At 39.5% G+C, this 22,566-nt stretch overlaps 1 protein-coding gene and 1 long non-coding RNA gene across 4 annotated transcripts in view, besides 1 other annotated feature; both read left to right on the top strand.

The window, feature by feature from the left end:
- ZNF670-ZNF695 (ZNF670-ZNF695 readthrough (NMD candidate)) overlaps positions 1-22,566 on the top strand; it is a 133,266-nt gene that overhangs the window by 72,122 nt on the left and 38,578 nt on the right. Inside the window, exons 2-4 of the long non-coding RNA NR_037894.2 lie at positions 6,616-6,742; positions 7,250-7,342; positions 18,435-18,569. This is a non-coding gene — a long non-coding RNA (ZNF670-ZNF695 readthrough (NMD candidate)). The remainder of the gene's footprint in view (positions 1-6,615; positions 6,743-7,249; positions 7,343-18,434; positions 18,570-22,566) is intronic.
- ZNF695 (zinc finger protein 695) overlaps positions 1-22,566 on the top strand; it is a 62,512-nt gene that overhangs the window by 1,368 nt on the left and 38,578 nt on the right. The window contains exons 2-4 of one of the 3 annotated variants that reach the window (NR_037892.2): positions 6,616-6,778; positions 7,250-7,342; positions 18,435-18,569. Coding sequence is in view for 2 of the 3 variants with exons in the window: in NM_020394.5 (NP_065127.5) it covers positions 6,616-6,778; positions 7,250-7,342; positions 18,435-19,723 (1,545 nt within the window). In the remaining variant the exon portion in view is untranslated. Of the gene's footprint in view, positions 1-6,615; positions 6,779-7,249; positions 7,343-18,434; positions 21,368-22,566 lie in introns of those variants that run through there. The other 2 variants (NM_001204221.2, NM_020394.5) reach the window with 2 other exon arrangements.
- Positions 4,075-4,575: an enhancer, noted in NCBI's record as "H3K4me1 hESC enhancer chr1:247165417-247165917 (GRCh37/hg19 assembly coordinates)". NCBI's record gives its function as "activates a minimal SCP1, AML or CMV promoter by ChIP-STARR-seq in naive H9 embryonic stem cells {active_cell/tissue: H9 hESC(naive)}" and the evidence as "EXISTENCE:reporter gene assay evidence [ECO:0000049][PMID:30033119]".

Genomic DNA, 22,566 nt, shown 5'->3' with positions numbered 1-22,566 from the left:
AAATGCTAACTTTGTCTCTCCAAACACAACATTATCAACTATTTGTTCTTTTTATTTATTTATTTTTTTTGAGACGAAGTCTCACTCTGTTGCCCAATGGCAGGTAAGCTGAAGTGCAGTGGCACAATCTGGGCTCACTGCAACCTCCACCTCCCAGGTTCAAGCGATTCTCCTGCGTCAGCCTCCTGGTAGCTGGGAATACAGGCAGGCGCCACCATGCCCGGCTAATTTTTGTATTTTTAGTAGAGATGGGGTTTCATTATGTTGGCCAGGCTGCCCTCGAACTCCTGACCTCGTGATCCGCCCGCCTCAGCCTCCCAAAGTGCTGGGATTACAGGCATGAACCACCGCGCCCGGCTTATTTGTCCTTTATTTGCTTTTCAAACAGATGCAAGATTTTAACGGTTCTTTTTTGTTTTTTTCACAGTGCAATGAATGGGCTTTTTTTTTTTTTCTTTTTTTTTTGAGACAGAGTCTCGCTCTGTCGCCCAGGCTGGAGTGCAATGGTGCAATCTTGGCTCACAGCAACCTCTGCCTCCCGGGTTCAAGCGATACTCCTGTCTCAGCCTCCCGAGTAGCTGGGACCACAGGCGTGTGCCACTATGCCTGGCTAATTTTTGGTATTTTTTGTAGAGACAGGGTTTCACCCTGTTAGCCAGGATGATCTCGATCTCCTGACCTTGTGATCCTCCCGCCTCGGCCTCCCAAAGTGCTGGGATTACAGGCTTGAGCCACCGTGCCCAGCCATGAGTGGCTTTTTAAAAAATATTTTCTTTCTGTTCTGAACATTTCACATGAGAAGAAAGCAGAGAATAATCACTTGACACTCTGCTGTAAAATCTTTACTCAGCCAGTGTCCTGGATAGTTTCCTTGATGTTTTCTGTTCATAGTTTGAGGTCTTAGATTTACGTCTTTAATCCATTTTGATTTGATTTTTTGTATATGCCTAGAGACGGGGGCCAAGTTTTTTTGTTGTTGTTTTTTATCGTTTTTTTTGTTTGTTTGTTTTGTTTTGTTTTGTTTTGAGACAGTCTCACTCTGTCATCCCCTGGGCTCAGGCTATTCTCGTGCCTCAGCCTCCCGAGTAAACTGGGACCACAGGTGCAGGCCACCACAGCTAGCTAACTTTTGTATTTTAATAGAGACAGGGTTTCACTGTGTTGGCCAGGCTGGTCGGACTCCTTGGCCAGGCTGGTCTCGAACTCCTGGCCTCAAGTGACCCTGCTGCTTTGGCCTCCCACAGTGCTGAGATTACATGCATGAGCCACCACACCCGGCCAAGGGGTCAAGTTTTATTCTTCTGCATATGAATATCCATTTTTCCCAGCACAACTTATTGAGAGACTGTTGTTTCCCCCAAAGTATGTTCTTGGTGCCTCTGTCACAGATTAATTTGCTGTAGATGTATGGATTTTTTTCTTGGTTCTTTATTTTGTTCCATAGAGCTATGTGTCTTGTTTTATGCTAGTACCATGCTGTTTTTGTTGCTATAGCTCTGTAATATAATCTGAAGTCAAGTAGAGTAATTCTTCCAGTTTTTTCCTTTTTGTTCAGGATGGCTTTGGCTATTCTTAGTCTTTTGTGGTTCCAAAAAAATTTTAGGCTTAGTTTTTCTATTTCTCTGAAGAATGTCATTGGTATTTTGGTAGGTATTACACAGAGTTTATAGATTGCTTTGTGGAGTTACGGACATTTTAACAGTAACATTTTAACAGTCTTCCAATCCATGAACACAGAATATATTTCTGTTATTTTGTGTGCTCTTCAGTTTCTTTCATCAATGGTTTATAGTTTCTGTTGTTGAAATCTTTCACTTCTTTGGTTAAGTTTATTCCTAGGTATTTTATTTGTTGCTATCGTAAGTGGGATTACTTTCTTCATTTCTTTTTCAGATTGTTTGCTGTTGGCATATAAAAATGCTACTGATTATCGTATGTTAGTATTGTATCCTACCACTTTACCAAATTTGCTTTTCAGTTTGAATAGTTTTTTGGTAGAGTCTTTAGGTTTTTTCAAGTGGAAGATCATATCATTTGCAAACAAGGATAATTTGACTTCTTCCTTTTGAATTTGGAGAGCTTCATTTTGTTCTCTTGTCTGTTCTAGTTAGGACTTACAGTACTAAGTTGAGTAACTGGTGAAAGTTGGCATCCTTTTCTTGTTCCACATCTTAGAGGTATAGCTGTCAGTTTTTCCTCCTTCAGTATACTAGCTGTGGGTCTGTCATGTATGATTTTACTGTGTATGCTCCTTTTATACTCAGTTTTTCGAGGGTTTTTTTTTTAAATCAATGAAGGATGTTGAATTTTATGAAATTCTTTTTCGGCATCAGTTGAAATGATCATATGGTTTTTCTCCTTCATTCTGTTAATATGATGTGTTACATGGGTTGATTTACATATGTTGAACCATCCTTGCATCCCTGGGATAAATCCCACTTGGTCATCATGAGTGATCTTTTTTGTTGTTGTTCTTTTTGAGATGGAGTCTCGCTCTCTCGCCCAGGCTGGAGTGCAGTGGTGCAATCTCAGCTCACTGCAACCTCCGCCCTCTGGGTTCAATGATTTTCTTGCCTCAGCCTCCCGAGTAGCTGGGATTACAGATGCCTGCCACCACACCCGGCTAATTTTTGTATTTTAGTAGAGACAGGGTTTCACCATGTTGGCCAGGCTGATCTCAAACTCCTAACCTCAGGTGATCCGCCCGCCTTGGCCTCCCAAAGTGCTGGGATTACAGGCATGAGCCACATGCCCGGCCCTAAGAAAAAATTTTTACTGTCATTCAAATACTAAGAATTTATGAATACACATTTTTAGAAATATAGTTCTAATGAAACAGTGTTTCAGTGTGGAACATAATGTATTTACCAACATCTAAATGTATTTTGTTTTTCTGAAATAAAAAGCCCAAAGTATGTAAGATGAACTCAAATTTAGTAACTAAATGTCTTAGCATTACATCTTATTTGGAAATGATCTGGATATTTAATGAATATCCATCACTGAATTTAGTTTACCAAAACTATAAAGATAGAGAAACTTTTTCCCCTATAATTTATTTACAATTTATTTATTTTTTCTTTTCCAATGTTTATTTTAGATTCAGGGAGTATGTGTGCAGGTTTGTTATATTGGCAAATTTTGTTTCATGGTTGTTTGGTGCACAAATTATTTATTTCATTACGCAGATAATGAGCATAATATCCAACAGGTAGTTTCTACTCTTGCCTTCCTTCTACTCTAAAGTCGGCCCTAGTGTCTTTTGTTCCCTCTTTGTGTCCATGTTTACTCAATATTTAGCTCCCACATATAAGAGAGAACATGCAGTATTTGGTTCTCTGTTCTGTATTAATTAAATTATCCAGCAGCATTCATGTTGCTGCAAAGAACATGATTTTGTGTTTGTTATAGCTGCATAGCATTCCCTGGTGTTCATGTATGTCATTTTATTTATTTAGTCCATTGTTGATGGGCAGGTAGGTTGACTCCATGTCTTTGCTATTGTGAAAAGGCTACAGTGAACATACACATGCATGTGTCTTTATTGGAGAATGATATATACTCCTTTGGGTATATACCCTGTAATGGGATTGCTGGGTCGAATGGCAGCCCTGTTTTAAGTTCTTTCAGAAATCTCCAAAATGCTTTCCACAGTGGCTAATTTATGTTTTCACCAGCAGTGTATAGGCATTCCTTTGTTTCTGCAACCTCGTTGGCATCTGTTATTTTTTGACTTTCTAATTATAACCATTTTGAATGGTGTAATAGAGCATCATTGTGGTTTTGTGTTGCATTTCTCTGATGATTAGTGATGTCGAACTTTTTTCCATATGCATGTTGGCCATGTGCATATCTTCTTTTGAGAAATGTCCCTTCAAGTCCTTTGCTGCCCCCCCCTTTTTTTTTTGAGACAGAGTCTCACTCTTTCACCCAGGCTGTAGTGCAGTGACACGATCTCAGCTCACCGCAACCTCTGCCCCCTGGGTTCAAGTGATTTTCCTGCTTCAGCTTCCCAAGCTGGGATCACAGGCATGCACCACCACACCCAGCTAATTTTTGTATTTTTAGTTGAGATGGGGTTTCGCCATGTTGGCCAGGCCGGTCTCGAACTCCTGACCTCAGGTGATCTGCCTGTATCAGCCTCCCAAAGTGCTGGGATTACATGCGGGAGCCACCACGCCCGGCCTTGGTTATTTCTTTTCTTCTGCTAGCTTTGAGGTTGGTATGCTCTTGGTTTTCTAGTTCATCTAGGTCTGACCTTAGGTGGTTAATATGAGATTTTTCTAACTTTTTGAACTGGGCATTTAGCACTATAAACTTTTCTCTTAACATTGCTTTAGCTCTGTCCAAGAGATTCTGGGATGCGGTATCTTTTTTTTTATTAGTTTCAAATAATTTCTTCATTTCTGCCTTAATTTCTTCATTTCTGCCTTAATTTCATTATTTACCCAGTCATTCAGAAGCAGGTTATTTAATTTCCTTGTAACTGTATGGTTTTCAGAGATATTCTTGATATTGAGTTCTGTTTTTATTTAACTGTGGTCTTGAGAGTGTGGTTGGTGTGATAACAGTTTTTTTTTTAATTTGTTGGTAATTGTTTTATGGCCAAGCATGTGGTTGATTTGAAAATATATGCCATGTGCAGGTGAGAAGAATGGGCATTGTGTTGTTGAATGGAGTGTTCTGTAGATGTGTATTACGTCCGTTTGTTGAGGTGTTGAGTTCAGGTCCCTATCTTTGTTAGTTTTCTGCTTTGATGATCTAATACTGTCAGTGGAATGTTAAAGTCTTCTACTAATATTGTATGGTTATCTGTGTCTGTTCATAGGTCTCTAAGAAATAGTTTTATGAATCTGGGTGCTTCAATGTTGGTTGCATATATATTTAGAATAGTTAAGTTTTCTGATTTTATTGAACATTTTATCACTATGCAATGCCCTTCTTTGTCTTGTTTCTTTTTTTTTTTTTTTTTTTTTTGAGACGAAGTCTTGCTCTGTTGCCCAGGCTGGAGTGCAGTGGCATGATCTCAGCTTACTGCAACCTCAGCCTCCTGGGTTCAAGTGATTCTCGTGCCTCAGCCTCCCGAGTAGCTGGGATTACAGGCGCCCGCCACCACGTGTAGCTAATTTTTTGTAGTTTTAGTAGAGATGGGGTTTCACTATGTTGGCCAGGCTGGTCTCAAACTCCTGACCTCAAGTGATCTGCCTGCCTTGACCTCCCAAAGTGCTGCGATTACAGCTGTGAGCCACCACGCCCGGCTCCTTTTCTTTCTTTCTTTTTTTTTTTTTAAAACAGAGACAGGGTCTTGCTATGTTGCTGAGGCTGGTCTTGAAATCCTAGGTTCAAGTGAGTCTCCCACTTTGGCCTCCCAGTGCTGATTACAGGCATTAGCCTCTGCTCCTGGCCTGTCTTTTTTCATTATTGTTGGTTTAAAGTTTGTTTTGTCTGAAATAAGAATAGTTCGTTTTTCTTTTCTGATTGCTCGACAGATTTTTCTCCTTCTGGTTACTTTTAGCCTATGGGTGTCACTGTATGTGACATGAGTTTCTGGAAGACCATAGAGTTGGGTCTTCTTTCTTTATGCAACTTGCACTCTGCTTTTTAAGTGGGGCATTTAGCCTGTTTACATTCAAAGTTAATACTGATATGTGGTGTTTTTGGTAGAAACAGGGTCTCACTATTTTGCCTAGGCTGGCCTTGAACTCCTGGGCTCAAGCAATTCTCATGCCTCATCCTCCCAAAGTGCTGGAGTTGATATGTGTGAGCCACCATACCTGGCCTTGATATGTGTGGATTTGATCCTGTCATTGCGTTGTTAGCTGGTTGTTATGTAGACTTGTTTGTGTGGTTGCTTTATAGTGTAAATGGTCTGTGTACTAGTCACTGCACCCGGCCCGTGCCTGCATTTTAACAAGATTCCTACTTCACTGACATACTTGTTAAAATTTGAGAAGTACCTTCTAACTCACCCTGACTTCTCCATATGAGAACAATACACAGTTTATCCTGTGTGATGTGAATATACCAGTGCTTGAGTTGATGCCCTTAATTTTATACTATATTATGCACAAAAGTAGACTACCTACACTGGTTTCATGGATCTTAAGCCATCTTCTTTCCTCAGAGAGAATACATTAGAGTGTGTGTATATATATATATTTTTTATTTATTTGTTTGTTTATTTATTTATTTTTGAGACAGAGTCTCGCTCTGTCACCCAGGCTGTAGTGCAGTGGTGTGATCTCGGCTCACTGCAGCTTGGCTTCAAGCAACTCTCCTGCCTCAGCCTCCCAAGTAGCTGGGACTACAGGCATGTGCCACCACGCCCGGCTAATTTTTGTGGTTTTAGCAGAGATGGGGTTTCACCGTGTTGGCCAGGCTGGTCTTGAACTCCTGACCTGGTGATCCGCCTGCCTCGGCCTCCCAAAGTGTTGGGATTACAGGTGTGAGCCGCCGCGCCCGGCCTAGAGTATATTTCTGTGTTAAAAATTATCTTATTTGATAATTCTAGTCACTCATATAAGTCAGAGCCAGTTCTCTTCACTGTCTCTCCTTGCCTGTAGTCAAATTAAGAACTCTGCCGTGACCACTTGGTAAATATGTTTTCTTTTTCAGGGACTATTGGCATTCAGGGATGTGGCTCTAGAATTCTCTCCAGAGGAGTGGGAATGCCTGGACCCAGCTCAGCGGAGTTTGTATAGGGATGTGATGTTAGAGAACTACAGAAACCTGATCTCCCTTGGTGAGGATAGCTTCAATATGCAATTCCTATTTCACAGTAAGGATTTCATCTTTTTCCTTTGTAGAATGTTTTCTGGGAGTTTCTGATTTGCATGAATGAGTTTCACATCACTGCTTTCAAGAAAACCTTGGGGATTTCTTGGTGTAGAAAACAAAACTTTCAAGATGTTTTGCCTTGACATCAACCTTTCTATTCAGCTGATGTATATCCTTGCTCTAGATTGGTGGTAATTCTAGAAATTCAGTAGTATAAAATATTGTTGCCTACACTTCAAAATCCAGTTTCCACCACCAATTTTTGATCCAGTTATTATAGTTCTTGGTAGCAGGGCTAAGGACTCACAAATTTAAAATACTTCCTACATATATTAAAGGTTCTGTCAGAAAACAGTATTTTGGAGTTAATTTTCTAGGATCTAATGTGATGTTTTCTCTTCTCTACTGAGCATAGTAAAAGGTGATTAAAGAATCCCTGCAAGAATCATGCACCTTTTTTCTAATAAAACAGGTCTTGCTATGTCTAAGCCAGAACTGATCATCTGTCTGGAGGCAAGGAAAGAGCCCTGGAACGTGAACACAGAGAAGACAGCCAGACACTCAGGTAGGTGGGAGTGAATGAAGCGAACACAGGTAGGGGTTGAAGGATCAAGGAAGAAGCCAGACTTTAAACTGTGGTTTGGGAAGCTCTACTCCCAGGAAATGGCTTCTGAGAAGCCTGGGTTTCTTTCTCTTGCTCCCACATAGGGGCATCTTCTATCTCATGCTGTTAAATTGTCTAAGGACTGTATTTCCCTTCAGTCATTTTCCTTCAAGTTTACAGTGAGCGTCACAATCATCTTCATAGTTTATAGGGGACTGCATGATCTGACTGCTCTTGCATTGCTTTTGGGGACATGGGACTGTCTGCGTATTTTTGAGGAACTCTATGCTCATATATATATATATATATATATATATATATATATATATATTTGTTTTCTTGAGACAGAGTCTCGTTCTGTCGCCCAGGCTGGAGTGCAGTGGCACAATCTCGGCTCACTACAAGCCCCACCTCCTGGGTTCAAGCGATTCCCCTGCCTCAGTCTCCCGAGTAGCTGGGACTACAGGCTCACGCCACCACACCCAGCCAATTTATTTTGTACTTTAGTAGAGACAGGGTTTCACCATGTTAGCCCATATGGTCTCAATCTCCTGACCTCATGATCCACCTGCCTCGGCCTCCCAAAGTGCCGGGATTACAGGCGTGAGCCACCGCGCCCGGCCTAAAATATTTTTTAAGATCCCTTTTTGCATTGCATGTGGAACATGTGAGAGTAGTGGTGATATTGGTATTTGGTTAAGAAATCCCAGAACACCACAAACGGATGTATATTTTCTCCTTTATGACTTACCCTGTGGAGATTTCAAATGTGATTCTACAGAAATTGATAGTAATTTTATCAGAAGACTAAGCATCTCCCTAAATATCAGAAAATCTAATGTCGTTTACTTAAAAATTTTCTTTCTTTTGTGTGAACTGAGATTTGTAATTTGAACCCTACGTGCCTAAATTTCTCAGCTGTTATATAGTTTAATATATCTACTCATATCCTAGATTTCTTAAATATGCTGGGTCGTTGGGGAGTGTAGAACATTGCTGATTATATAGTAAACTCCCACTTGTTGCCTTCCTTTAAAATAATTGTCATTTTATAATTTTCTCTTGTTTAGTATGAAACTTCATCGGTCTGTGTCATTTATATATATGTGTGTGTATATATGTATGTGTATAATGTGGATTCTTTTACACAAATAAAAATTGGATAACTATTGTACGGTGTCATGGTTTGATATCTGTATCTAGTGAAATGATTATACAGTTAAGCTAATGAACACATCTGTCACTTCACATGGTTAGTTTTATGTTGAAAACACTTGTCTGCTGTGTTAACGCAAATTTTAAGCATACAAAATATTATTAACTGTACTCATGATGCTACTCATTAGATTTCCAAAGCTTATTTATTTTATAACTGAAAGTTTGTGCCCTTTTAATACCATCTTCCATTTTCCTACCTCCTTGGCAATCACGTGTGTCTTCTGCTTCTAGGAGTCCAACCTTTTAAGATTGCTCATATGAGTGAGAAGAACAGGAAGTATTTGTTTTTCTGTGTTTGGCTTATTTCACTTAGCGACTTAGTATGTTGTTAGAATGGCAGGATTTCATTATGTTTATTGCTTAATAATACTCTATTATGTATATGTAAAACATTTTCTTTATCCATTCAGCATTCACAAAGATTCACATTGTTTCTGTATCTTGGCAATTATGACTAATGCTGTAATGAACATGGGGATGCAGATATTTATTTGAGATACTGATTTTATTTCTATTGATTTTACACACACACACACATGTGAGATTGCTGTCTTGTATGGTAGTTCTTTTTTCTTTTTTTTTTTTCTTGAGACAGAGTCTCGCTCTGTCGCCCAGGCTGGAGTGCAGTGGCGTGATCTCAGCTCACTGCACCCTCCGCCTCCCGGGTTCAAGAGATTATCCTGCCTCAGCCTCCCCAGTAGCAGGGATTACAGGTGCCCGCCACCACATCTGGCAAATTTTTGTATTTTTAGTAGAGATGGGGTTTCACCATGTTGGCCAGGCTGGTCTTGAACTCCTGACCTCAAGTGATCCCCCTGCCTCAGCCTCCCAAAGTGCTGGGATTATAGGCGTGAGCCACCGCGCCTGGACTTTTTATTTCTTTCTTTATTTTTTATATAGATGGGTTCTCACTCCTGCCCAGGCTGGTCTCAAACTCCTGGCCTCGAGCAATCCTTCCCCTCGGCCTCTCAAAATGGTGGGATTATAGGCATGAGCCACCACACATGAACAGTTTTTACTTATGTATTATAATTTTTATGAACATATTCAGTTCTGTACACTTCAAGACATTATGGTGCAAAAGTGAATAATGCAACAATCACATTGTCAGTACATTTATCTGTAAGTTTGTTTGCCTTTATAAATGTTACAGGCAAACAAACTTACAGATAAATCTACTTGCAGTAGACATGCCAGTACATTTTCTTTATGACGTGTGTGTGTATTTGCCTGGCCCTTTAGAAACACCATTCTATTTTTTAAGGATCTGTTTCAGATATCTCATATAAATGGATTCGTACAGTCTCTATCTTTTTGTGACTGGGTTACTTCATTTAGCATGTCACCAAGATTTTCATTTTTAATTTTTAAGGGTACATAGTAGGTGTATATATTTATGGGGTACATGAGATACTTTGATACAGGCATGCAATGCATAATAATCACATCAGGACAAAGGGCTTTTCTTGAAGATTCATCTTTATTGTAGATTTTACCAGATTTCCTGCTTTTTAAGCTGAGTAATATTCCATTGTGGTTTTATTTATTTATTTTTCTTGAGACATGTCAATTTCTTGGGCGTCTAAAGATTCATCTTTATTGTAGATTTTACCAGATTTCCTGCTTTGTAAAAGCTGAGTAATATTCCATTATTTGTGGGGTTGTTTTGTTTTGTTTTGTTTTTTGAGACATCTCGATTTCTTGGGCATCTGTGGTGCTAGTATGAGTTAATTTTGTTGCGAGGAGTCTCACTCTGTCGCCAAGGCTGGAGTGCATGGCCCGACTTCAGCTCACTGCAGCCTCCACCTTCCAGATTCAAGTGATCTCCCATCTCAGCCTCCTGGGTTGCTGGGACTACAGGCATGCACCACCACGCCTGGCTAATTTTCTTTTTTTTTTGTATTTTTAGTAGAGACGAGGTTTCGCCATGTTGGCCAGGCTGGTCTCAAACTCCTTACCTCAGGTGATCCACCTGCCTTGGCCTCCCAAAGTGCTGGGATTACAGGCACGGGCCACCACTGCCAGCCTATTTGTGTATTCTGAATTATATTTAACCATTCATTTGGTGAGGTAAGTTTGGGTTGTTTTCCCCTATCAGCTTTTGTGAATAATGTTGCAATAAATATGGGCATGCAAAGAACTCTTCATGTGACCATATATGTGGAGGTTTGTTTCTGTGTTTTCTATTCTGTTTCATTGACCTAACTGTCTGCCTTTATGCCAATACCAAACTGTTTTAATTACCGCAGCTTCTTTTTTTTTTTTTTTTTTTTTTTTGAGACAGAGTCTCAGCTCTGTCACCCAGGTTGGAATGCAATGGTGCGATCTCGGCTCACTGCAAACTGCGTCCCGGGTTCAGGTCATTCTCCTGCCTCAGCCTCCTGAGTAGCTGAGATTACAGGCATGTGCCACCGTGTCTTTTTAGTAGAGACGGGGTTTCACCATGTTGGCCAAGCTCGTCTTTAACTCATAACCTCAGGTGATCCACCCACCTCAGCCTCCCAAGGTGCTGGGATTACAGGCATGAGCCACTGCGCGTGGCCATAATGTATTTTAAAATCAGAAAGTATGATACCTGCAACATTGTTCTTCTTTGTGGAGATTGTTGCGCTCTTCATGGTTCCTTCACGCACTGTGTAATTTTAGGGTTGCCTTTTCTATTTCTGCAAAAACGAAATTGTGAACTTGAGAGGATTGCACTGAATCTGTAGGTCACTTGGGTGATATGAACATCTTCGTAATATTAAGTCTTCTAGCCCATGAAGAACATGCTCAAGTGTGTGTTGTTGAACTTCCGTATATTTGTGAATGTTTCAGTTTTCTTTCTGTTACTGATTTCTTGTTTTATTCCATTTTGGTCATAAATAATAATCTATAAGATTTTAATTTTTAAAAATGGGTTAAGACTTGTTTTGTGGCCTGACAGGTGGTCTGTCAAGGAGAATGTTTTCTGAGCTGTTGAGAATATCGTGGATTCTGTTGTTTAGGGTGTTCTCTAGAGGTCTGTTGGTTGTCACTGTTTTATAGTGCTTTCAAGTCCCCCGTTCCCTGTGTACTTGTTGCTTCATTTCTGTAAATAGTTGCTTTATATATCGTGAACCCTGGTGAGACACAGATGTAGACATAAATACACAGACATACATTTGTCATAGGTTTTCTGTGAACAAAACCTTTTATTATTTATTGTCTTTTTTGTCTCCTGTGAGTTGTTCGTGTTTTTTGTTTGTTTGTTTTTTGTTTTTGTTTTTGTTTTTGAGACGGAGTCTTGCTCTGTCGCCCAGGCTGAAGTGCAGTGGGGCTATCTTGGCTCACTGCAAGCTCTGCCTCCCGGGTTCACGCCATTCTCCTGCCTCAGCCTCCCGAGTAGCTGGGACTACAGACGCCCTCCACCATGCCCAGCTAATTTTTTGTAATTTTAGTAGAGATGGGGTTTCACCATGTTAGCCAGGATGGTCTCTATCTCCTGACCTCGTGATCCGCCTGCCTCAGCCTCACAAAGTGCTGGGATTACAGGCGTGAGCCACCACGCCCGGCTTTGTTTTGTTTTTTCGAGATAGGGTCTCTATCTGTCACCCAGGCTGGAGTGGAGTGGCGTGATCTCGGCTCACTGCAACCTCTGCCTCCCAGGCTCAAGCGATTCTCCTGCCTCAGCCTCCTGAGTAGCTGGGGTTACAGGCGCGTGCCACCACGCCCAGCTAATTTTCGTATTTTTAGTAGAGACAGGGTTTTGCCACGTTGGCCAGGCTGGTCTCGAACTCCTGACCTCAGGTGATCTGCCCACCTCAGCCTCCCAAAGTGCTGGGATTTCAGGTGTGAGCCACTGCGTCTGGCCACAACAATATATTTTAAACTGGTAATGTCTTCAGTCACATACAAATTTTTTTTCTCAGTACATCTGCCCTGAACTTTAGGTTACTGATGTCATTGATCATATCTTTTTATATGAACAGATGTTTATAATTATTTTTACGCTTTTGTTCCTCCGCCGCCCAGGTTCAAGTGATTCTTGTGCCTCAGGCTCCCTATAGCTGGGACTACAGGTTTGTGCCATCACGCCCAGCTAATTTTTTTGTATTTTTAGTAGAGATGGGGTTTCACCATATTGGCTAGGCTGGTCCTGAACTCCCGACCTCAAGTGATCCGCCCACGTTGGCCTCCCAAAGTGCTGGGATTACAGGCGTGAGCCACCGCACCCAGCCCCTTTAGCATTTCTTGAGTATAGGTCTACTGATGACTTTTTCAGCATTTGCTTACCTTATATTCTTGAGCTCCATAATTTCTATTTCTTTTTATACTTTTTATCTTTTTGTTGATCTTCCATTTTCCTGATTTCATTTAGTTGTCTGTGTTCTTATTTCACTTATTAATGTTATTCACATGATTATTTTGAGTTTTTAAAGATAATTTATATATCTCCATTTCTTTAGGGTTGCTATCTGGATATTTATTTTTCCTTTTTGGGGCGTTAAGTACCCTGATACTTTGTATACATTGTAATCTTTTGTTCAGATTTGAAATTAACAAAAAGCCACCTGTTTCAATCTTTATAAAGTGGCATTGTTCTGGGAAATTCTGACACCAGTTGACCAGGCTAGAGATTATGGGAGCCTCTCAAACTTGTTCTTGGGATATGTCTTCTCTGGAATGGTGTTTTTTTTTGTTTGTTTGTTTGTTTGTTTTTTGAGACAGAGTCTCTCACTCTGTCTCCCAGGCTGGAGTTCAGTGCTGCAATCTCGGCTCACTGCACCCTCTGCCTCCCGGGTTCAAGCAATTCTCCTGCCTTAGCCTCCCAAGTAGCTGGGATTATAGCCACGTGCCACTATGCCTGGCTAATTTTTGTATTTTTAGTAGAGATGTGGTTTCACCGTGTTGGCCAGGCTGGTCTTGAACATCTGACCTCGTGATCTGCCAACCTCGGCCTCCCAAAGGGCTAGGATTACTGGCGTGAGCCACTGCACCCGGCTATTTTCTTAATTACAGAGGTTTTCACATGTTTCCTCTTAAGAGGCTGTAATCACTTGTTATATCTGTTGCCCATCTCTCGTACTGCAGTTTCTCATCTGCTATAACAACCATTTATTATTGGTCTCAACAGAACCAACCTGTCGGTCAAAGTATACCATCATTCCATTCAGTACTCTGTGTAATAGGAGACAGAAACCAGTCTTTTTCAAGCCCCCAAAAGTATGGACACATGTGCCACTATTTTCTTTATTTTCTGAGGGAGAAGTCGGAAGTTTACTCCTAAGGGCACCTACCTTATTGGAAAAAAGGTAGGGCTGTGGTGGGTAAATGGAACCAACTTTCCTTCCATTCTATGGGGCTTGTGGCATTGTGCTCACCTGCAAACCCTTCATTGATTTTTAGAGTTCTCAGAAAGGATTTTTAAAAAATTTAAAAAAATTTGTGGGTGCATAGTGTATATATTTATGAGGTACATAAGATATTTTGATACAAGCATGCAATGCAAAATAAGCATATCAGGGAAAATGGGGTGTCCATTCCCTCAAGCATTTATTTTTTGACTTACAGACAAATTATACTCTTTATTTTAAAATGTCCAGCTGAAATTATCTTTGACTATGGTCACCCTGTTGTGCTATTCAATAGTAGGTCTTTTTCATTCTTTTTAAGTAATTTTCTTGCACCCATTAACCATCCCCACCTCCCCCACCCACTCACCCACTACCCTTTCCAGCCTCATAACCATTCTTCTACTCTCTATCTCCATGAGTTAAATGTTTGGACTTTTAGATTCCACAAATAAGTGAGAGCATGTAATGTTTGTCTTTCTGTGCCTGGCTTATTTTACTTAACGTGGTGACCTTCAGTTCCATCTATGTTGTTGCAAATGACAGGATCTCATCCTTTCTTAAGGCTGAATAGTACTCCATTGTCTATAAGTAGTACATTTTCTTTTTTTTTTTGAGACAGAGTCTCGCTCTGTCACCCAGGCTGGAGTGCAGTGGCGCGATCTCGGCTCACTGCAAGCTCCGCCTCCCGGGTTGACGCTGTTCTCCCGTCTCAGCCTCCCGAGTAGCTGCGACTGCAGGTGCCCGCCACCACGCCCGGCTACACGTTGTTAGCCAGGATGGTCTCAATCTTTTGACCTTGTGATCTGCCCACCTCGGCCTCCCAAAGTGCTGGGATTACAGTTATGAGCCACCGCGCCCGGCCTATAAGTAGTACATTATCTTTATCCATTTGCCCATTGATGGATACTTAGGTTGCTTCCAAAGTCTGGCTGTTGTGAATAGTGCTGGAACCAACATAGGGGTGCAGGTATCTTTGATATACCTATTTCCTTTCTTTGGCCTATACATATGCAGTGGGATTGCTGGATCATATGGTACCTCTATTTTTAGTGTTTTGAGAAACCTCCAAACTGTTCTTCATAGTGGTGGTACTAATTTACATCCCCACAGTGTACGGGGTTTCTTTTTCTTTCCATCCTCACCAGCATTTGTTATTGCCTGGCTTTTGGATATAAGTGATTTTAACTGGGGTGAGATGATATCTCATTGTAGTTTTGATTTGCATTTCCCTGATGATCAGTGATGTTGACAACCTTTTCATATGCCTGTTTGCTATTTGTGTCTTGTTTTGAGAAATGTTTATTCACATCTCCTGAGCTTTTTCTGGCTCGGATTATTAGATTTTTTTCCTATAGAGTTGTTTGAGCTCCTTATAACTTGTGGTTGTTAATCTCTTGTCAAATGAGTAGTTTTCAGGTATTTTCTCCCATTCTCTGGGTTGTCTCTTCACTTTGATTGCATTCTTTGCTGTGCAGAAGCTTTTTAACTTGATATGTTCCCATTTGTCCATTTTTTTTTGGTTGTCTGTGTTTGTGCGGTATTGCTCCAGAAATTTTTGCTTAGACTAATGTCTTAGAGGTTTTTCTCAATTTTGTTTTTCAAAAAACTAATTTTTTGTTTCATTGATCTTTTGAATTGTTTTAAAATTTTAATTTCATTTATTTCTGCTCTGATCTTCATTATTTTTCTTCTACTAATTTTGGGTTTTGTTTGCGCTTGCTTTTCTAGTTCTGTAAGATGCATTGTTGGATTGTTTAGTTGAAGTTTTCCCTCTTTTTTGATGTAGGCACTTGTAACTATAAACTTCCCTGTTTGTACTGCTTTTGCTGTATCCCATAGGTTTTGGTATATTTTGTTTCTGTTATCATTTGTCTCAAGAAATTTTAAATTTCCTCCTGAATTTCTTTTAATTCACTGGTCATTTGGGAGCGTATTGTTTAATTTCCATGTATTTGTATAGTTTTGAAAATTCCTCTTTTCATTCTAGTTTTATTCCATTGAGGTCACAGAAAATGCTTGGTATTATTTCCATTTTTTGGATGCTTTAAGACTTGTTTTGTGACCTAACATTTGGTCTATCCTTGAGAATGATCCATGTGCTGAGGAAAACAATGTGTATTCTGCAGCTGTTGCATGAAACGTTCTGCAACTATCTATTAGATCCATTTGGCATATAGTGCAGATAAGTGCGATGTTTCTTTATTGATTTTCTGTCTAGTAGATTTGTCCAGTGCTGCAAATGAGGTCCTGAAGTATATAGCGGTTACTGTACTGGGGCCTCTCTTTAAAGTTCTAATAATATTTGCCTTATATATCTGGGTACTCTGGTGTTGGATAAATATATATTTACAATTGTTATATTCTCTTGCTGATTTTACTCTTCTATCATTATTTAATGACCTTCTTTTTCTCTTCTTATACTTTTGGTCTTGAAATCTGTTTTGACTGACACCAGTATAGTGACTCCTGCTCTTTTTTGTTTGTTTGTTTGTTTTTCATGGAATTTCCTTTTCCATTCTTTTATTTTCAGACTATGTGCGTTTTTATAGGTAAAGTGTCTTTCTTTCTCTCTCTCTTTCTCTTTTCCTTCCTTTCCTTTCTTTCCTTCCTTTTCCTCTCTTCCTCCCTCCTTCCCCTTCTCCTTTTCCTTCCTTCCTTCCTTCCTTCATTCATTCCTTCTTCTCTCTCTTTCTCCCTTCCCTTCCCTTTCCCCTCGTTCATCTCTCTCTTCCTTTCCTTTCCTTTCCCTTTCCCCTTTCTCCCTTTCTCCCTTTCAAGATGGGGTCTCACTGTGTCACCCAGGCTGAAGTGCAGTGGTGCAATCTTGGCTCACTGCAACCTCTGCCTCCCAGGCTCCAGCAATCCTCCCACCTCAGCCTCTCAGGTAGCTGGGACCACAGCCCAGCTAATTTTGTATTTTTGGTAGAGATGGGTTTCACCATGTTGCCTAGGCTGGTCTTGAACTCCTAAGCCCAAACGATCTGCTCGCCTCGGCCTCCCAAAGAGCTGGGATTACAGGTGTGAGCCACTGCACCTGGCCTCAAGTGTGTTTCTTAAAGGCAACAGGTCAGTGGGTCTTGTGTTTTCATCCATTCAGCCAGTCTATTTCTTTTGAATGGATAATTTACTCCATTTACATTCAATGTTGTTATTGGTAAGTAAGGCTTAATCCTGCCATTTTGTTACTTGTTTACTGGTTGTTTAGTGGTCTTCTTTCTTTCCTGTCTATGTTCCTTTAGTGAAGGTGATTTTCTCTGGTGATATGATTTAGTTTCCTGATTTTCATTTTTTGTGTATCCATTGTATGTTTTTTGGTTTGATGTATTTTAACGTGATAAGAACCTAACACTCTTTGCATAAAAAAGCAAGTGAAAAGAAAACTAATAAAAACTCTACGCCTTAGCTTAGTACTCCTGATTTTTAACTTTTTGCTGTTTCTTATTGTACTATGTTTTGAAAACTTGTTGTAGTTATCATTTTTGATTTGTTCATCATTTAATTTTTGTTTGTTTGACAAAGTTTCACTCTTGTTGCCCAGGCTGGAATGCAATGCCACAATCTTGGCTCACCACAACCTCCACCTCCCGGGTTCAAGCGATTCTCCTGCCTCAGCCTCCCGAGTAGCTAGGATTACAGGCATGCGCCACCACGCCCAATTAATGTCGTTTTTTTTTTTTTTTCTGAGACGGAGTCTCGCTCTGTTGCCCAGGCTGGAGTGCAGTGGCGCGATCTTGGCTCACTACAAGCTCCGCCTCCCGGGTTCACGCTATTCTTCTGCCTCAGCCTCCTGAGTAGGTGGGACTACAGGCGCCTGCCACCACGCCCGGCTAATTTTTTTTTGTATTTTTTAGTAGAGATGGGGTTTCACTGTGTTGGCCAGGACGGTCTCGATCTCCTGACCTCGTGATCCGCCCGTCTCGGCCTCCCAAAGTGCTGGGATTACAGGCGTGAGCCACCGCGCCCGGCCTAATGTCATATTTTTAGTAGAGACGGGATTTCTCTATGTTGGTCAGGCTGAACTTGAATTCCCGACCTCAGGTGATCTGCCTAATTAATGTTCTTTTCTGATTGAAGTACTCCTTTTATCATTTCTCGTAGGACAGGTCTGGTATTGATGAAATACCTCAGCTTTTGTTTGGCCATCCTTATTTCTCTTTATGTTTGAAGGATATTTTTGCTGGATATAATATTCTAGGGTAAAGGTTTTTTTTCTTTCAGCACTTTAAGTATGTCATACCACTCTCTCCTGGCCTGTAAGTTTTCCGGTGAAAAGTCTGCAGTGAGGCGTACTGGAGCTTCATTGTACGTCATTTCTTTTTTTCCCCCTTTGGCTGCTTTTAGGATTCTCATAATGGCATTTTGCTTAGTATATTTTTGTTAGGATTATGACTATGAAGGAATAAGGGCCTGTGGTATTTCATTATGCTATCTTGCTAATATGCTTGTATAATTTTATGCCTTAGATTTGTAAAGGATGCTATCTAGTAAGTGGAATAATTTGTTGTTTTTATTTTTTCCAGTTTTGTCTTCTTATCTTACTGAAGACATTTTGCCAGAGCAGGGCCTGCAAGTTTCATTCCAAAAAGTGATGCTGAGAAGATATGAAAGATGTTGTCTTGAGAAATTACGCTTAAGGAATGACTGGGAAATTGTGGGTGAGTGGAAAGGGCAGAAGGCAAGTTATAATGGACTTGACCTATGCTCAGCAACTACTCATAGCAAAAACTTTCAATGCAATAAATGTGTGAAAGGTTTTAGTAAATTTGCAAATCTAAATAAATGTAAGATAAGCCATACTGGAGAAAAACCATTCAAATGCAAAGAATGTGGCAATGTCTCTTGCATGTCTTTAATAATGACTCAACAGCAGAGAATCCATATTGGAGAGAACCCGTACCAATGTAAAAAATGTGGCAAAGCCTTTAATGAGTGCTCATGCTTTACTGACTGTAAGAGAATTCATGTTGGAGAGAAACATTGCAAATGTGAAGAATGTAATAACATTTTTAAGTCTTGCTCAAGTCTTGCTGTTGTTGAGAAAAATCATACTGAAAAGAAAACCTACAGATGTGAAGAATGTGGCAAAGCTTTTAACCTGTGCTCAGTTCTTACTAAACATAAGAAAATTCATACTGGAGAGAAACCATACAAATGTGAAGAATGTGGCAAATCCTTTAAGTTGTTCCCATACCTTACTCAACACAAGAGAATTCATAGTAGAGAGAAACCCTACAAGTGTGAAGAATGTGGCAAAGTCTTTAAATTGTTGTCATACCTTACTCAACATAGAAGAATTCATACTGGAGAGAAAACCTTCCGATGTGAAGAATGTGGAAAAGCCTTTAACCAGAGCTCACATCTGACTGAACATAGGAGAATTCATACTGGTGAGAAACCATACAAATGTGAGGAATGTGGCAAAGCTTTTACCTGGTTCTCATACCTTATTCAGCATAAGAGAATTCATACTGGGCAGAAACCCTACAAATGTGAGGAATGTGGCAAAGCTTTTACCTGGTTTTCATACCTTACTCAACATAAGAGAATTCATACTGGAGAGAAACCCTACAAATGTGATGAATGTGGCAAAGCTTTTAACTGGTTTTCATATCTTACTAATCATAAGAGAATTCATACTGGAGAGAAACCCTACAAATGTGAAGAATGTGGCAAAGCCTTTGGCCAGAGCTCACACCTTTCTAAACATAAGACAATTCATACCAGAGAGAAACCATACAAGTGTGAGGAATGTGGCAAAGCCTTTAACCACTCTGCACAACTTGCTGTACATGAGAAAACTCATACCTGAGAAAAACCCTACAATTCTAAACAATATGGCATAGTCTTTAATACCTATTCACAACTTCACAGCAGAATATTTTTACTGAATAAGAGTGTTACAAATGTAATGACTGTCAAAAGGCCATTTACAGTCTATGAGCCTTTGAGTGCACTAAAATGTTTAGGCTACGAACAATACAAATAGACCGGTTCAACACCTCCACTTATATCACAGCTCTTACTGTACACAGAAGAATTTATACTGGAGGGAAACCCTCCAGTTGCTCAAACTGTATTCAATTTCAAAGACTTTGTATTGGAGAGAAACCCTACAAATGTAATAAATGCAGAAACAACATTTGTTCAAAAAATATACCTCAGAAAACACCAGAGTGTTCACACTAAAAACTGTTTTACAGATGCAGTAAATGTGAAAAAATGTCTAATCAAAAATTACATCAAAACACATCCAAGAATTCATAGTAAAAAGCACTAAGTCACTGACACTTTCAGACATTACTGTAAATCTGAGTGTTGGTTATAGAGAATAATTCAAAGTTAAGTTAAAGTAAGTAGGAGATTCACCTTTTGGGGAAGTTATAATTACATTTCAAGTATACCTTTTGGTGCCAGGCACGGTGGCTCTTTCCTATAGTTGCTGCACTTTTGGATGCCGAGGTCGGGGGATTGCTTGAGCCCAGGAGTTTGGGACCAGGCTGGGCAACATGGCAAAACCTCATCTCTACAAAAAGTAAAATAAAAGCCAGGCTTGGTGGCACATGCCTGTTGTCCCAGCTACTTGGAAGGCTCAGGTGGGAGGATTGCTTGAGCCTGGAGGTTGAGGATGCAGTGAGCTGCTATCTGGCAACTTCACTCCTGCCTGGGCAACAGAGCAAGACCCTTTCTCAATAATAATAATAACAACATAATAATAAAGTATACTCGGTGCACTGAAAGAGTTTTAGCTTTTTTGAAAATCACATATTTATGTAATTCAAGTCTTAAATCACTTGATACCATGCCTTCATTTCTAGTGTTTATGTGAAGGCATGAGGCCTACTGTTGCTACATGAAAGCTGTGAGAGTTTCTTCTATATTCGGGTGGGTGTTGTTCATATCCTTTTCTTTGGAAGATTATGGACATTGCATTGTAAGCTTCCTGAAGAAATTTAACTGGAGAGGCTCTTTGTACTTGTCTTATAATAGGGTTGTAAGTGATTCATGAGATAGGTCTTCAGAGTACTATTCTGCATTATATTTAAGAAAGAAACATTTGAGTTTTACAAGTCAGTTGTTTTTCCTATTGCACATTAAGGTAATAAAATTCAGTGGATTTTGAAATGCTCTTTTTAGACTGTTTGAACTTAATTTGTTTTAATAAGACATTGTTTTAATGTCTTTGGACCGTTGTACATTAAGTGATGCGTATCCTACCACCAACGTTAACCTATCTCACCTTAGTTACGGTTGTAGGTAACAAATGGTAACAATACAATAGTGGGTAACATGGTGGAATAGTATCTCTAATGATCCCTTCTCCCAGTGGCATTAAACTTCAAATAATTTGAAAAATATTGTTCCCACACGTTACACCTTCATTCTGTTTGCTCTTTTTGTAATGACAGTGTCATTATTAAGGCTATAATAAAGCCTATATAGGATTATAATCAAAGACCGTGTATTTCTGAATCTTGAAGGACTATTCACAAAATTTTATTTACATTTTCCTTTTAACATGTGGCTTTTCTGGCCTGCAAAACATATACATGCTTTTAGTTTTGGTTTACATGGAGATAAATACATAAATATACTACTCTAAGGATAAATGTTAGGTGTAAGACAGTTATGAAGCAAGTAATGTGTTTGAAGTAAGTGCATACCTGTTTTCAGAATAAGAGAAAAATGTTGGAACCAAACATAATTTCAAAAGTATGGATAATTTATTAGCAAACTAGAAACCTCAAAAATGTCGAAGGCAAATCTGTTTTCTCTGCTTTGTATTGAAGGCATTTCTCTAAAATCTTATTTTGCAGAATTTCCACATGAAATTCCTGTTTTTACTTTTATGTTGCTCATGCTAGAGCTAACGTATAATTTTCTTGTTCCAAAATTCATGAAGAATTTCTTATGTGATCTTCTCAGGGATTATAATAATGATTTTATGAAACTTATTGGTGCTTAAAAAATAATCTGAAGATGTGAATAATTCCACAGTGAGTGTATTAATTTTCATTGTACTTAATTAGTACATTTCCATTTTTCCATTATTAGAGAACACTATTCGAGCCAACTTTTTTTGTTATTGTTTCTTTCACTTAATTGAGTAATTGAGTTTATTGACTCTATTGGGCAATTTGTTCAGATAAACACTTTGGAGGCTTTATAAGTCATAGGGCTATTTGGCATATAAATGAAGTGAAGAAACATAACGCAGTGCCAGATGTGTAGTAGATGTTCCATAATTAACAATAAATATTCTTTTTGGAGTGAAGTTGTGGCTCCAGGTAAGAGATTGGAAATATCCAGGATGAAGACCTGGCATTGATTCTGCATGCAGAGAAAGGACTTCTCTACCCAGGCTGCACAACTGACTCTCTCTGAAGAGGAATTCTGCTTTTATTTCCAAATTATCTCTGTTTTTTTGTGGTCTCTTTTTCTTTCTTCTCAACTACTTATGCATTCCAGCTCTCCTCCTTTTTTTTTTTTTTTTTTTTAAAACCTGTGTTATGGCTACACTTTCTCACTGTTCTCCACACAATATGTCATCTTATATAGTACTTTGTACATTCTAACAGGAAATTTGGACTTTCTCTTTTTCTTCTTCTTTTTTTTTTTTTTTTTTGGAGACATGGTCTCACTGTGTCACCCAGG

This window comes from Homo sapiens, chromosome 1 (genome assembly GCF_000001405.40).
Source record: "Homo sapiens chromosome 1, GRCh38.p14 Primary Assembly".
Lineage (NCBI taxonomy): Eukaryota > Metazoa > Chordata > Mammalia > Primates > Hominidae > Homo > Homo sapiens.
This window is presented reverse-complemented; position numbering and strand designations above follow the sequence as displayed.